Below are 16,808 nucleotides of genomic sequence, written 5' to 3' on the forward strand. Positions count from 1 at the left end.
AGTGTGGCCATGCCAACACCTTGGCTTCAGACTTCAGCCTCCAGACTGTGAGACAATCCATTTCTGTTGCTTTAAACCACCCGGTTTTGGGGATTGGTTTGTTTGCTTTCGTTTTTGTTTCTTTGCAGCGTTAGCAAACGAATGTACCCTGTGCCTGGATATAACCAAGTAACCTAGGCCTGGCCAAACAGAGTCCCTTAACCACCCTCTATCCACTATGATTATAGTTCAGGAAGGAGCAAGGAAGTTGAGTTGATTGGAAGCATCATAGCTTTTTCCATAACTGCAGGGAAAGAGAATTTATTTTGATGGATTCCTCAACTGCAAATGTTGGCTCCAAGCCTCTGTCAATCACCTGGATCCAGCCACACCTAAAGTCATGACACTTTTAGCCACATAAGCACTCAATTCCTCTTGTCTTTTTTTTTTAGCTGGATTTCTCCCATTTGCAACCACAGAGTGATGGCTTTAGATAGTCTGCATAGTCAGCAAGGCTTTTTGGGTGGCGTCTGACCTACCAGCCACCTTCCCTCTGCTCTGCAGGCAAGATCCAGCTTATCGCAGGAGGACTACAGGAACCTCACACTGCTAAGCCACCAAGCTAAATTACCGTGGAACAATGTTGCCAAAATAATAGCCTCTCAGAACAGCTTGATGTCTTTTTCTTCATATGGTTTCCCAAGCAGGATATGAAGTTGGCATCATTATGTGATGAGGGATTTACTCAGCAGGACCAGGAAGGGGTAGGGTGGGGTGGGAAAGAGCTGTGGCTCTGCAAGGGAACCTCCAGGTTTAAGTGCAGCTCCCAGACAGTGATCCACGTGTGCTGCCCTGGGCCGGAACTTCCACGCACGTGCAGAAGCCTGTGCACTGGTGAGTGGGGAGCAGAACACCTGTTGGCAAATCAGCCTCTCTAGACCTTGCTAGAGTGGCAATTAGGCCTTCTCTGAGAGCAAAACAAATTATCTTAATAGATATGTAACCCTCAGATCCTATTGGAAAAACGTTAGATCATTGGGGGACTATGTATTTTTAATCAAAAGTTGGCATTTTTATAAAGAGCATGTGATTTGACCATTTTTAGTCTATGCCCTCAATGCAATTTAAATATGACATGCTGAGCATACACTCAGTTTTGTTCTTAAAAGAACAAACCTTGAACCTGGCTAGAATTCAGTAATTTTTTTCTTTGAACCAACAATGTTGAGAACTGAATTTTTGAAATATATGTATAAACCAAAACTTACCAAAGGGAGAAGCTTATTTAATTTCAACCAGCTCTTACTGCGTGTCTTCTAACACAGGGCTTAGAAAACTAAATAATCTATGGCTCTTGTTCTTGCTCTTGAAAAGCTGCCAGTCCTTGGTAAAGCCTAAGAGACCTGAATTTTGGAAAAGCATTTTGGAATGCTTTTAGTTGCAAGAAACAAATGAACAAAACTAACCCCAAGGAACATAAACAATACAGGAAATTTAAAACTCACAAAGACTTAAAGCCTGAAAATAGATTTGCCTTCAGGTGAAGCTTGATCCAGGACCTCCATGACCCAATTTTTTTCCATCTTTCCTGTTTTCAGATTTCCATTCTTGGCAATGTCCTCTCCTCTCTCAACCTCGGCTTGTCCTCTCAACCCCTTTGCTAGCCTGCTCCCTGGGAACTAAGAAGGGGTTCCCAGAGAAGGTAATGCTTAGAATTTTGAGGCAGAATGTGCATGGGATTGACAATAAAGAAAGCACATTCCAGAAGGGAGTATCCTTCTCAAAGGCAAGAAGGAGTGAAGCCACAGGAGAGTCAGGGGAGCTGCAGGTAGTTTTTATGCTGCTGGAGGAGAGAGTCTACTTGAGGGACTAGCAGTGATGGATGCTCAGGGGTAGGGAGGAGGTAGCAGGAGGAGGGATGGGGACCATGAGCTCTGTTCTGAGCGGAGCTGAGGTGGAAGCACTTTATCCTGAAGACGATGGAGAATAATTCTAAGCTGCGTATGCAAGGATGGGATCTGCACTTCAAAGTGAAAGCAAAAAAGACCAACTCAAACAATAAGAAAGTGTATTATCTCATAGAACTGCAAGTTCAGAGGGAGGGTGGGTCCAGGCTTGGCAAGATTAGTGGCTCAAAGATACCCTCAAGGACCTAGTTTCTTTCTGTTTCTCTGTTCTGCCACTTTCTGTGTGAGCTTCAGCCAAGGTCTGGCTCCCGGCATGGTTGCAGGATCGCAGCCAGAGGCAGGCAGGGCCATATGTCGTTCCCAAACCCATCCAATAATGGAGACAGAGAGGGGGCGGAGAGAAGGAAAGGGAGAGGAAAAGGGAGAGAGAGAGGTTCCAAAGGGGCCCATCGGGAACAAGGAATCTGAGTGGGAAACCAACAGTGCCCTTCTCGAAGGCTTTCATTTCCTTCTTCAACACCCAGGGCCTGTTGTATTTCGGAATTCAGTACTTTTTGGATTTCAGGAGGGTAACAGAGTGCCTGTACCTCATCTTTTAGGAGGGTAACAGAGTGCATTAGACCCCACAGGGGCTCTGAGGTGCTGACCCCACCCCACCACACCAATGACTCTGCATAAAGGGCATGGACGCCAGGTGCCCTGCTCAGTCAGGGCAGGCTTGGCAGCCCGGGGGCCACAGTGTGCGGCGCGTTCCTTCATTCTTGTATGGACCCCAGTGCCCAGGACGTTCCTTGACTGCTCTGTGAGCAGGGGGAGGAGGGCTGGAGGGAGCGGGTGGGGGGGCAGTCAGAGAGGTGATTTCTGAGGCTATGGGGACGTGCCAGTGGGTTGCGAGATGGTCTGAAGGAGAACAGACGCGACGGGAGTGGGAAACTGTGGGGACACGAAAGAGATTCCAGAGAAATGAGGAGGCAAGGGTGAAAGAGGATTACCTGGAAAAATCAAATAGCAGAGTCCTTCTTCTGCCACTAGAGGTCATGAAGAATTAAGACTAAGTCACTTAAATTGGTGAGGTGTTTGCAGTTCCTTTCTGTGAAAAGATCTCCAGGACAAAGAGACAAACAAAGAGATTTGTTGACGTATTTCAGATCCAGAACGATGAGCTACACACTTTCTGAAATCCACAAGTGTGTGTCTCGTAAGCTCCTATGAGTGTGGTCTTTCTTAAGAGCTCAAGCTCCCTCCGGTCTTGAATTGCCTTGACATCACACACTCAGGTGGGCCCTGCCTCCAAGCCCACCTTGTGAAAACAGGGACGGGGGACCGCCACTAGGGAGAGAACGTGAGAGTTGGAAGGGGCCCAGGCCCATGGGAAGTCCAAAGTGGGCTGTCCAGGTAGGGAATCTGAGGCCAGTGAGGAAAGAAGGACTTTTCGAGGCCACAGAGCTGTGTGGGGCAGAGGTGGCACTAGAGTGAGTTTCCCTGGTGTGAGGCCCAGGCTCTGTCCTCTGCATGATCCGGGGGTGGGGGACGCTGGAAGCCTGGTTGACTAGAAGGAAAGACAAGCCAGAGGCCAGTGCTACTCTCCACTTCTGCCCTTTGCTGAGCTGGCCCTGACCCCTTCCAGGCCTCAGGGCCTCCTGCTGCCCTGACTTAAAGCTCCGTTTCCCACGATCTGTACAGATCCTGACTCACACCCTCCTCTTCATGTCCTTGGGCTACTTTCTCTTTGACTAACAGTTTTAAATTTTTATTTATTTTTATTTTTGATACATAGTATTGTACACATTTATGAGGTATGTGGAATATTTTTACATGCACAGAATGTGTAATGATTAAGTCAGTACAAACATAAGTTAGAAAGAAGAAATAAGGTTTTTTTTCTTTCTTTTTTTTTTTTTATTTGAGATGGAGTCTCGCTCTGTCGCCCAGGCTGGAGTGCAGTGACTTGATCTCGGCTCACTGCAAGCTCTATCTCCCAGGTTCACGCCATTCTCCTGCCTCAGCCTCCTGAGTAGCTGGGACTACAGGCGCCCGCCACCATGCCCAGCTAATTTTTTGTATTTTTAGTAGAGACAGGGTTTTACCATGTTAGCCAGGATGCTCTTGATCTCCTGACCTCGTGATAAATAAGTTTTTTTAGTAAAGTAATTCAAACTTTTCGATTCGGGGTACATGTGGAGGTGTGTTACAAGGGTATGTTACATGATGCTGAGGTTTGTGGTATGATTCATCCCATCACCCAGGTAGTGAACATAGTACCCAATAGGTACTTTTTCAGCATTTGTTCCTTCCCCTTCGTCCCCCCTCTAGCAGTCCTCAGTGTCTATTGCTGCCATCTAAATGTTCATGAGTATCCAGTGTTTAGCTCCCACTTATAAGTGAGAATATTTGGTATTTGCTTATCTGTTCCTCCATTAAGTCACTTAAGATAATGGCTTCCAGCTGCATCCCTATTGCTGTCAAGGATCTGATTTTGTTCTTTTTTATGGCTGCATAGTATTCCATGATGTATAAGGACCACGTTTTCTTTATCCAGCCCACCATTGTTGGGCACCTGGGTTGATTCCATGTCTTCGCTATTGGGAATAGCACTATGATCATCATACGAGTGTATGTGTCTTTTTGGTAGAATGATTTATTTTAGATGAAATAAGTTCTGAAGCTCAATAGCAGAGTAGGATTACTATATTTAATGACAATGTATTGTATATTTCAAAATACCTAGAAGGGAGGGTTTGAAATGACCCAATACATAGAAATGATAAATACTTCAGGTGAGGGACACGTGATGATTGACTGTCAGTTTTGAAGCCTGGTTTTGCACAAACACCTCACCCCAACTGCAAACACTGATAAGGGCGGCTTCCCATCCTCAAAGGCTCACACCTGCCCATGTCTTTCCTGGTGTGAACCTGTTCTCCTGCTGCATCACACAGCTGGCCTTATAGGCCATTTTTCTGGATTTTTGTATCGTGTGATGCTGTCATGGGCCACGCTCCTCTCTGCCCCAGCCCAGGTGCAATGCCAGGGAGATCACCTGAGATGACAAGCCTGCATCCTGCCATGCACATGGTCCTGTCTGATGGCTCATTTTGGGGCTGAAGATACAGGCTTATTTAAGGTGGTAGCTAACATCTTTACCCCGAAGAGGTCCAGGTTCTTCCTTTTGGAGCCTGAGAAAATAAACAGTTTTAAGAGTAAGCATGTGGGCAGGGATGCCTAAAATTGAGTCAAGAAAATTAAGCTGGAAGAAAGCTTATTCATATGCAAGGAGTATCATTAGGTCCATTGGTAATAAACTAATAAAATGTTCTATAAATACTCCATGAGAAGTATCCACTGGGCATCATCAGGTGGTCGGTCTGTGGTAGCTCCTGGGAAGCTAAAGGACTAATGGATTTCATACATGTTCCCATAAAACCCGGAGCTCATTTCCAGGATGAGGAAGAGCCAACAGAAAGACTGAATGAGGCCAGGCACAGGGACAGGCGCTCTTCTCTCAGGGGCGGCAGGCCCATTCAGAGCAAGATCTGATCGCTATAAGCCCTTTATCATAAAGGAACATATCATAAAGGATATGGATAAATTCGTTTTTGGTATCAAAGTTTTTTTTGTTGCTGCTTTCAGCGTTTTATTAACTCATATATGTGAAAGCTCTTCATGGGGTAGTGAATAGAGTATTTTCCACGCTGTGATTTGTCTGGCAATGGGAGTGAAAAGTAGCATTATTAGAAAAAAAAAAAAATCCCCTAAGATCCCTGTCAGAGTTTTTTTCCCTTCTATGCTATTTTCTGTTTTTTGGTTTTTTTTTTTTTTTTTTGGCAGTAAAAAAAAATCATCGTTCACTCTGATGCAGAGAACTAAGGAGAATTTTCAAGGTAATTTTTATCTGAGGAAAGAAAAAAAAAAAACACCGTGTAAATCACTTGGAGGTCATTTTTTCCCATGCCTTGTTGAATCTGTTGAGCCTCTCCCAGTCCTCTGGCAGCCTTGAAGAAGTTCCTGAAGACTCAGTTCTTACATTTCTGCCAGTGGTGACTTTATTCAAACTTGGAACCTTCCACTCTTTCGTAAGAGTGTACGCACAGTTTCCTTTTGTCCTCATGGAATGTTGCTGCTCCCCCCAGAAAGGACTGCCAAGCAGCAGCCCCTCAACTTGCAAAGATGCGGAGGAGCCTGTCTGCAGGGCTTCCGTCAGCTTATTTTTTACTTTGGGAAAAAGTCTGTGCCCACAGGCCTCTCCTCCTCCCTCAGTCTCCTTCCCTTCTTTCTCTGACCCCTGCTTCCCTGGGACTCCGCTGAGCTGGCCTGTCCACTTTGCCTCCTTGAAGATGGGGCACTCGTAAGACCAGCATGCTGAGGTTGACCCACTGGCACCACGTGACTTCAGCATGGTAGTTTAGTAAAAGGCCAGCTCTCCTTAGGAATGATGGCGGAGAGGGAGAAGGTATGGAAAACACAGAAAACCCCACCCTGCACCACTGAAGTGGAGATAGAGCAGCCACAGAGAGTGGATGGGCAAGGACTCTCCTCTGGCCTCTCATGTCCTGGGCTTCAGGGTCCCCATGACAACTGTCCATGGGCACCCACACACCCAGGAACCTACAGGTGCTGGGATTGGACCTCCAGGCAGGCCAGTGGTTCTCGAGCTGCATGCTCAGCACCCTGGAGGGCCTGTTAGAATACAGAGGCCTGCACCCCACCCCAAGTTTTCAATTCAATAAACTTGAGGTGTGGCCCCCAGGTGTGCACTTCTGACAGCTTCCCATGTGCCGCTGAGGACCCAGGTCCAGGGACCCCCTCACTTGGAGAACTACTGGGGTTAGCAAATAAGGCAGAAAGTAGGTAAGCAGAAGTCCTGGTTTGTTTAACCTGCATGATGAATTGTTCAGTGACGACTCACTGCAATTTCTCGCTCACTTTCTGTATTTTATACCTGAATTTCTCTTTGTCAAGAACTGGGAAGGGCCTGAGATTGACACTCCTTGCAAGTTAACCTGTTAACTGGCACAGTTTCGAGAATGCTGGCAGAAGACACAAGACGCCTGGGATAGAGGCAGAGGACAGTTTGCAACTCACAGCCACAACAGCAGCTAGGGTGTCAGCACTTGCACCAGTTTCCAAAGTCATCCCTCAGGGTGATGGTGGCACCTGCACCGTTGTGGGTTGTGCTGTAGAAGAGGAGCCTCGTGCTTAGGGAACCTAAGTCTTTTCTAACAGACAGTATGCCTGCCTGACTGTAACCTTGGAGAGAGACATTTCCTTATTACACTGACAGTAAAAATAACAACAACAACCACCAAACCAAATCAAAACAAAACAAAAAATTTTAAAAAAATCTTTTTGTTCCAGGGATAGATATTATCCCCATATATCAAGGCTATTGATGTACAAACATTCTTAAAATATAGTCTGGAACAAAGGCATCAAACACTTCCACTCTCAAGACGTGCAAAAACCTGAGACCCATGGAGAATTATCTCCAAACATCCTTCTACTTCTTCTCATTGGAAATTACTAAAATGCAAAATCCCCTTAAGGCTATCATGGTAGGCAGAATAATACCTCTTCCTCCCCACAAGATGTCCACCTTGAAACCTGTGAATATGCTACCTTACAGGTTTATTAGTTTCCCTTGGCTGCTGTAACAAAGTACCACCAGCTTGTTGGCTTAAAACAAGAGAAATTTATTGTCTCACAGTTCTGAAAGCTGAAAGTCTAAAATCAAAGTATAGTAGGATCAAGCTCCCTCTGAAGTTTCTAAGTGGGGATCTTTCTTGCCTCCTTTCATGCTGATCATTCCAGGAGTTTCTTGGCTCATCAATGCATCATGCCAGTCTTTGCTAGTGTCTCCATATGGCATTCTCCCTGTGTGTCTGGGTCTTCACATGGCTGTGTACTTATAAGGACACCAGTTGGCCAGGCATGATGGCTCATACTTGTAATTCCAGCAGCTTGAGAGACTGAGGCAGGAGGATCTTGAGGTCAGGAGTTTTGAGACCAGCCTGGGAGACATAGTGAGACCATGTCTCTACAAAAAAAATGAAAAAATTAGCTGGGTGTGATGGCATGCTCCTGCAGTCCCAGCTACTTGGGAGGCTGAGGTGGGAGGATCCCTTGAGCCCAGGAGTCCGCAGCTGTAGTGAGCTATCATCATGCCATTGCACTCCAGGCAACACTCTGGGCAACAGAGTTAGAACCTATCTCTAAAAAACGATAGAGAAAAGACACCAGTCATACTGGTTAAGGGGCTCACCCTACTCTAGTATGATCTCATCCTGACTAATTACATCTCAGTGGCCCTATTTCCAAATAAGGTCCCATTCTGTGGCACTAGGTGGGGGGTTAGGACTTCTTTTCTTTTGGCCGGGGGTGGGGGGGAGATGCAACTGGACCCATAGCACCTGACAAAGAGGAATTAAGGCTGCTCATCAACTGACCTTAATAAGGAGATGATCCTGAATTGTTGGGGTTGAGGAACAGTGTAATCATAAGGGTCCTTAAAAGTGGAAGAAGGAGGCAAAGAAGGTCAGAGCAACGCAATGTGAGAAGGACTTGGCCTTACATTACTGGCTTTGAAGATCGAGGAAGGGACCATGAGCCCAGCAATGTGGTGGCCCCTAGAAGCTGGGAAAGACCAGCAAACAGATTCTCCCCGGATCCTCCAGGAAGGAAGGCCATCCTACAAACACCTTGATTCTAGCCTGGTGAGACCTCTGTGGACTTCTGACCTGCTGGAATAGAACATGATAAATTCATGTTGTTTCAAGCCACGACATTTGTGATAATTTGTTCCAGCCACCATAGAAATCTAATAAACCCATCAAGCACAGCACAGTTGAGGTAGCACGACTTTATGGCTGCAGGCTGTTTCCTCTATTTTCTTGGATACCACAACTTAATATATTTCACATGGTCATTGTTTGCCATTTCTAATCCCATGACTGTAGTACGTTTATAACTGTTTCTGCATTTCACAAATAAGGGATTTTGCTCAGAGAGCCGATTTCTCTTTGCTTACTTCTTTTTCCCTTATTTAGAGTTTTGCATTTCTCTGTACCATTTCCAGGTGTTTGAACTCACAATGACTACTTTATCTCAGGCTTTGCTTCGCTTCTCAATTAAAATTTTGTGTTGATAGAAGATAGGAGTGCTTGCTTGTTTAATATCTGTTTATCTAGCTTGATGATGCCATGTTTATATAATAGGAGCTCTGGAAATTAATCAATATTTCTAATGAAGCAACACCCCACTCCTCCGTAGGTGTAATAGCTGGAAAAGTTTGAGATGCTTGCATATTACAACCACTCTGGCCATAGATTGTATGTATGTTAAGTGCTTCCAGGGAAGGGACTGGATCTCACTCACCTTTGAATTCTCTTAAGTGTGGAGCCTTGAACATTTTAGACTCTGACTGAATAATTGATAAATGATCAAAGATGGGGAGAGTTGTTTTCTTGAGATTTTTCTGTGTTCTGGAAGCTTTTATTTGCTGTATCTCTGTATTGTTTTCCATTCCCCTGCCATCCCTCCAGTTACCTCATCTTTCTGTAACTAAGCTTCCTGAGACAGAACAAAGTCCTGCGGGTGTGGTCTCATTAGAGGCTCTGAGCTGTGAGGTAATGCTTCTCTTCATAATGATGCCTTGTTCTTACCTGGCACCTTACTAATAAAATTCATAGCTGGTGAGGAGCATGTACACACACACACACTCACACACACACTCTCACTCCCTTCGAAGAGCTGAGCAAAAGTAGGTTACCAGTTCCCTCAGAAAACATAGAATGCCAGTCAAGCACCCTCATATTTTTTTCAAGGGACCCCTTCCTTAATTGTCCAATATGTTTCTAAAGAAAACATAATATTACCTTGAAATGTTAGAGTGTCTTTCCTCTTGGGTCTCAAAGGACAGGTGGAAACCTGAGCTTATCTCTATAACATCCCCATGAGATCAACACTCCTGCATTTGAATGCGACCTATTTAATTGGAGTGTAAGGCAGGGAAAGTCCCCCAGAGAGTGGAGATTTCCATGAAAGAATGCCCAGGAATATGGCCACTGTGTAGGGAAGACTGAAGCACAATTTATTTGAAGGACAATATAATTTTTCTAGAAGAATCAAGTAATTACTGAGAGATGTCAGATGATGAGATTTCTGGAACTCTTAGGATGTTTTGGAGTCAACTATAGCTTGCCACTTACTTCACTTGATCCAGAAATGTACAGTTAAATGGCCTCAAGGTTAAGTGGAGGAGAAGGAGGATTTGGATTTGCACAGCAGTTTCCAAATCAAAGCTGAGGTGTCTGAGTTCAGCCTGGAGTGGATTACACTAAACTGCTAAAGTTGGGACATTGTGAGAAAATTTCTGATGTAAATCCTGGTAGAAAACCTGAACTATGTCGTGTTTCATCTGGGTGTGGGAGCTGCCTTGCTATTGACTAATCCCTCAGTACACTCCAAATGTCCCTACAGATTTAAAAACACCCATGTCAGGGCTTCCTTCTTTGTCTTGCCAACATATGCATATGTTGTTTAACTCTCTAAAGTCTTTCAAAAAGGTGTTGATTGTGATGAAAGAAATATTACTTGTAGGACACATAGATGCATCCATCCATCCTGGACACATTGATCTACCACATGCAAATTAGTTTAACTTTCTGTCCAAAAATGCTTTAGACCAGACTAGATTTAACCTTCATTTCTGGAATGTTTAAGTACTTTGCATGATGGACAATTGAAAATACAATTCTCAGCCTCTTGCGACCTTTACTGACTGATGTGATTATGAAAATACCAAGATGGTCAGGACTTCTGGAGCAAGGTCATGGACTGGACCAGCGCCATGCTGAGCCATGTGGAGCACAGGGCAAATGAAGCATCATTCACATGGATCCTTTCTTTATTTAAAATTGTGACCTTTGTTCATCGTGGATTTCCCACCACAATGACTGTAAATCTTACGAAGACAGAGAGCATTGAAGAAGAGACTGGAAGTTGGAAATCAAATAGAAAAGTGGTACTTGACTTAGCAGATGAAGAAAATGACACCCTTAGCTGGCAGTGACAACAGCTGAGAAATGATCTTATTTACACTGTGGTACCCCTCTCCTCCCACACGGAAACCCTTACCAACTGGAGGAAGTGCATTTCTATCAGTGGGGGTGAGAGAGGACTGGATGAAAGCCTTCCTTAAGGAGTGGCTAAGTTCAGCAGCAGCAGACAGGAAGTTTATTTTCTGGAGAAAGTAACCTGAGGCTGTCTGAACTTGGGCACCAACCATGCTGAAGGAAGGGTATGGAAGTCAGACAGTGAGTAAATGCTCAAAACTCCAATCTCCTTCCCACTGTAGGATGGGGGCCCTGGAAAATAGCCATTTACCCTCCAGGCAGGGGATTAGAGGTGTCTTGTCTAGAGACACTCACCAGCAGATGAAACTGATGCTGGGACTCCTAAGGAAATGGCCTGCCTGACCAGCTTCCAGTGCAGGCCCTGGGTGGAAGCCCAGCAGAGCCTCCAGTCAGCCCTTAGTGGCCCACTCAAGATCATCAGACAAGGTGCTCAGGGAGAATATGTCACAGCAATGACCAGAAGTCAAGCAACAGAAAAAGAGCAGTCTGCCAAAGCAGAGGCTACTGGGACAGAAGAAGAGAACAATAATTACCTCAGAGAGACAAGAGAGGACACTGCACCCACAACACAAGAAGAGGGTCTTATATCAAAGAAATACTCACGGGACAAAAAAAAAAAATAGAAAATAAAGATGTGGTAGGTGAAATTGGAAACCAAGTGAGAAAGTTGAAAGATAATGTTGAGGAAATGCCCCAAAAGAAAGCAGAGTAAAAAGATCAAGAGATTGGAGAGGGGGGTGAAAAAAAAAGAAAAGAAAATTGGAGAATGGCCTGGCATGGTGGCTCACGCCTGTAATCCCAGCACTTTGGGAGGCTGAGGTGGGTGGATCACCTGAGGTTAGGAGTTCGAGACCAGCCTGACCAACATGGTGAAACCCCATCTTTACTAAAAAAAATACAAAACTTAGCCAGGCATGGTGGCACCTGTAATCCCAGCTAATCAGGAGGCTGAAGCAGGAGAATCGCGTGAACCTAGGAGGTGGAGGTTGCAGTGAGCCGAGATCACACCATTGCACTCCAGTCTAGGCAACGAGAGCAAAATTCCATCTCAAAAAAAAAAGAAAGAAAGAAAAAATTGGAGAATCAATGCAGGTAACAGGAATCCAACAAACAAATCACAGGAGTAAGTATAGACAGGAGATAGTGGGGAGGAAATCATTTAGGAAGTAGCAGAGGAACATTGCTCAGAACTAAAGGACACTATTCTTTTGTCCACCATGTACCCTGCTCAAAGTACAAAAATGATCTGGGCCAGGTGTGGTGGCTCACGCCTGTAATCCCAGCACTTTGGGGGGGCCGAGGTGGGTGGATCACTTGAGCTCAGAAGTTCAAGACCACCCTAGCCAACATGGCAAAACTCTGGCTCTACAAAAAGTAGAAAAATTAGCTGGGTGTGGTGGCACACGCCTGTAGTCCCAGCTACTCTGGAGGCTGAGGCAGGAGGATCGCTTGAGCCTGGGAAGTGGAGGTGTAGTGAACTGAGATTGCACCACTGCACTTCAACCTGAGTGACAGAGTGAGACCCTGTCTCAAAAAAAAAAAAAAAATCCACAGCAAGGTATATCATTGCAAAATTTTGGAAGATGGGGGGCAAATACTGGAAAGCACTTGCAGAGACAAGTAACAGTATGCAGACAAAGAACCACGAATCTGAATGACGGTGGACTTTTTTATATCAACTCCTGAGCTAGAAGACAATGAAGTAATGCTTTCAAAATTTCTGGAGAGAAGTGACTTTTATCCTAGGATCCTTTTTTTTTTTTTTTAAGTTTCTTTTTTTTTTTTATTATACTTTAAGTTTTAGGGTACATGTGCACATTGTGCAGGTTAGTTACATATGTATACATGTGCCATGCTGGTGCGCTGCACCCACTAACTCGTCATCTAGCATTAGGTATATCTCCCAATGCTACCCCTCCCCCCTCCCCCCTCCCCCCACCCCACCACAGTCCCCAGAGTGTGATATTCCCCTTCCTGTGACCATGTGATCTCATTGTTCAATTCCCACCTATGAGTGAGAATATGCGGTGTTTGGTTTTTTGTTCTTGCGATAGTTTACTGAGAATGATGGTTTCCAATTTCATCCATGTCCCTACAAAGGACATGAACTCATCATTTTTTATGGCTGCATAGTATTCCATGGTGTATATGTGCCACATTTTCTTAATCCAGTCTATCATTGTTGGACATTTGGGTTGGTTCCAAGTCTTTGCTATTGTGAATAATGCCGCAATAAACATACGTGTGCATGTGTCTTTATAGCAGCATGATTTATAGTCATTTGGGTATATACCCAGTAATGGGATGGCTGGGTCAAATGGTATTTCTAGTTCTAGATCCCTGAGGAATGGCCACACTGACTTCCACAATGGTTGAACTAGTTTACAGTCCCACCAACAGTGTAAAAGTGTTCCTATTTCTCCACATCCTCTCCAGCACCTGTTGTTTCCTGACTTTTTAATGATTGCCATTCTAACTGGTGTGAGATGGTATCTCATAGTGGTTTTGATTTGCATTTCTCTGATGGCCAGTGATGATGAGCATTTTTTCATGTATTTTTTGGCTGCATAAATGTCTTCTTTTGAGAAGTGTCTGTTCATGTCCTTCGCCCACTTTTTGATGGGGTTGTTTGTTTTTTTCTTGTAAATTTGTTTGAGTTCATTGTAGATTCTGGATATTAGCCCTTTGTCAGATGAGTAGGTTGCGAAAATTTTCTCCCATGTTGTAAGTTGCCTGTTCACTCTGATGGTAGTTTCTTTTGCTGTGCAGAAGCTCTTTAGTTTAATTAGATCCCATTTGTCAATTTTGGCTTTTGTTGCCATTGCTTTTGGTTGTTTATCCTAGGATTCTGTTCCCAATTCAAAAATCACATACGTGTGAAGGTAGAATATAGACTTGGTAGGATATACAAGATTTCAAGAACTTTGCCTCACAAGAAATCACTAAAAAAGTTACTACAGGAACACTGGATGAGGAAGAAATGAAATGCCAAGAACAAATGATGTGGCATGGACATTTCTTCAGGAATGAATGGATCCTGACATGTCTGAATAGGTCAAGAGGAGACTGACACAACTAGGTAGAGTTTGGGTGTGAAGTTGTAACAAGTTCACAGAAAGTTAAGTGTGCGCATGTACACACACATACACACCCCTCACAAGCCCGGGACAACTATGAGCTCCAGAGAATGCAAAATATTGTGCATGAAAGAAAAAGTAAGCATAGTAGACTGTGTGACTTGACTATAAATAGCATTTGCAAGCATAATTATGGAAACACTGACTACTGCCATAACCAAATTACACTGTATGTGTATTGATATTGAGAGGATGGGAGGACAAGTGATGTGTCTGAATGAAATAGCGGTAGAATGGCTGGGGGTGGGGGAAGGTATGAGAACAGAGTTGTCATCCTCCACAAAAGGGAGTCAATAGATAATGCCTAAAATGGAAGACTCAAAGGAAGAGGATCACCAGCATGCTATTTGGAGCTATGAAAGGAATTACCAAGAATGTGCTGCATGAAGGGCTGGGGGCTGCCTTTGGGGAGTGGAAAATGCTAAGGACGCACTGCAGTTTTTCATAAAAAGCCTTGTAGAACAATTTGACTTTAAAATGTGTGCACATATAATTTTGTCAGAAAAAAAAACAAATTAGAAAACGAAGAGGATGTGGATCCCTAAGAGCAGTTTACAGGCCATGATAGAGCTGAGAGAGAGGGTAGATCGTTCAGACGTGATTCTCTGCATGCAGTAATTCTCTGCTGCAGGTGGATGGGAATTTTCAGTGACACTTTTGTCCTCCGAGTGATATGCAGATACCTCGCTTTTGAGAACTTGTCACTTCGGTTGGACAACAACCACTCTCCAATTATGCTACTGCTTTACGGCTTTGAAAAAGTAGGAAGTATATGAGTATGTTTCTAGGGCAGGAAATATGGATAATAATTAGAGTTAATGAATAAAGCTTCCAATGTTAGCCAGGGTAGCATGAGAATTAATTATAAATTTGATTAAAGAGATTAGAGTTCATTAAAAGTTAAGTGTTCTGCTTCCTCATGTTTTGATCTCAGGTTAGTGAATGAGGTTCGCTGTTGAGGAGTGTGCTCTACTCGAGATCCCCGAGCTAAAGCTAAATCAGGTTAAGTACATCCTTTCCTTGCCTCCCAAACTCCCAACCTAGGAGTCATGCATAATTTCCATGCACATGCAGGGGATGAAATCTCTTTAATCCTTATGACTTTTCCCTCGGGCCTGCCACTCTCACTGAATTCTGTGAATTTTTAATTAACCTAGAGTTGAAGATGTATAGGCAGTTATATATCCTCAAAGATTCAAATGGTTTTTCAGCTCCCGTTTGAATGGCTCTTCTAACAAGGCCTGAAATAAAGCTGTGTGAAAAACAGAAGTCCGAAAGAGTGCTCACTTTAGAAAAATTGAAATAAGCAATTATTATAGTTAATATTGACAAAAACAAGAGCTAGGGAACAAAACCAGTTTTTAGTATTGTGCTGGTGATTTCCATGTGCCCCACCATGCACTCATTCTCAGTGTTTCCCTGCCCCTTGTGCCCCAGGGGTTGAACCTTCCTTGGCTGCTTCTCTTGGGCTCCTTGGCCCTTTGCCTTCTGGTTGGGGGCTTAGATTCAGTGGGTGGTGGCAGAGGTGGGGAAGCTGGGTAGCCAGTGGCTGCCTCTTTGGTTACAGGTTACAACTCCACTTGTTCTGGCCCCAAGCTCTCTCTGGGCTCCAGTAACATTGCTCCTTTCTTCTGCCCCTTCAGGCCCAAGGCAATAACAGCTTCCCACATATACGAGTCACCATCCTTTGTTGGTTCCATTAAACCCATCTGAAGAGTTGTTTAATGAAACTTTCTTCAATGAAACTTTCAGAATGTGCCAACTGCTTTCTGCCAAGATCCTGAACTGATCTGAATCAGGTTTTTGGCCATGTCATCTACGTGTCTCCCTGTCTCCTATGTGTCTCCCTGTCTCTCCCACCAACTTACAAGTCTCTGAGGGCAACATATCTGACTTACCATAGTTGTGTCCCCAGTGTTTAGAACATCACCTGGTCTACTATAAGCATTCAATATTTGCTTGATGGATGAAACAGTGTACCCATTAGTGAATTCCTAGATGTGGTGCTTTATTTTTGGGGAAAAGTTGAGGTTATCTAACATCCAGACCAGAAGACATGAGTGGAAATGGTATAGTTTGGGACAGAGACATGTGCCACTGTCTGTGGTTGGCAGTCATTAACATGTTTGGGTCAAGCTCCCTCCTTCACCCCACACAAATCTCCATTAGAGCCTTATAAAACCAACTGCTTCAGAAACCATTTCATCTGAAGAACTGGATACAGAAGCTCATATGCACAAAACATGGCGTGGGTTTGGACACCAAGTCTATCATTTAGATGCTTTTGGCCATTAACAGCATATTTAATTTCCAGAGGCTTAAAAAATAAAGATTATTACTATCTCATGTAATAAAAGTCCTGGAGGTTGGGGTGCTTCTTCTCTTTTGTCCTTTCCACCCCTCCCCAATCTCCCCAGTATGGCCACAAGATGGTGGCCACTGCCCTAGGCACAATCTTCACACAAGTCCACCAAAAGGCAGGAAAGGAGGCTCTTTTTGCTTGTTTCATTTTATTAGGGAGTCCTTCAGCAGACACACCCTCACATCCATTGGCCTTGATTGGCTCTCATGCCCATCACCTAGCTAGCTGCAAGAGAGGCTAGGGAAGAGAGTCTCTGTTTTTTTGTTTTTTGTTTTTTTGACAGTGTCTTGCT

General features: G+C 44.2%; 1 annotated feature.

Moving 5' to 3' along the window:
- Positions 2,927–3,825: an enhancer, noted in NCBI's record as "H3K27ac-H3K4me1 hESC enhancer chr2:106192987-106193885 (GRCh37/hg19 assembly coordinates)". NCBI's record gives its function as "activates a minimal SCP1, AML or CMV promoter by ChIP-STARR-seq in primed H9 embryonic stem cells {active_cell/tissue: H9 hESC(primed)}" and the evidence as "EXISTENCE:reporter gene assay evidence [ECO:0000049][PMID:30033119]".

The sequence above is a fragment of the Homo sapiens genome, chromosome 2, assembly GCF_000001405.40.
Source record: "Homo sapiens chromosome 2, GRCh38.p14 Primary Assembly".
NCBI classification, from domain to species: domain Eukaryota; kingdom Metazoa; phylum Chordata; class Mammalia; order Primates; family Hominidae; genus Homo; species Homo sapiens.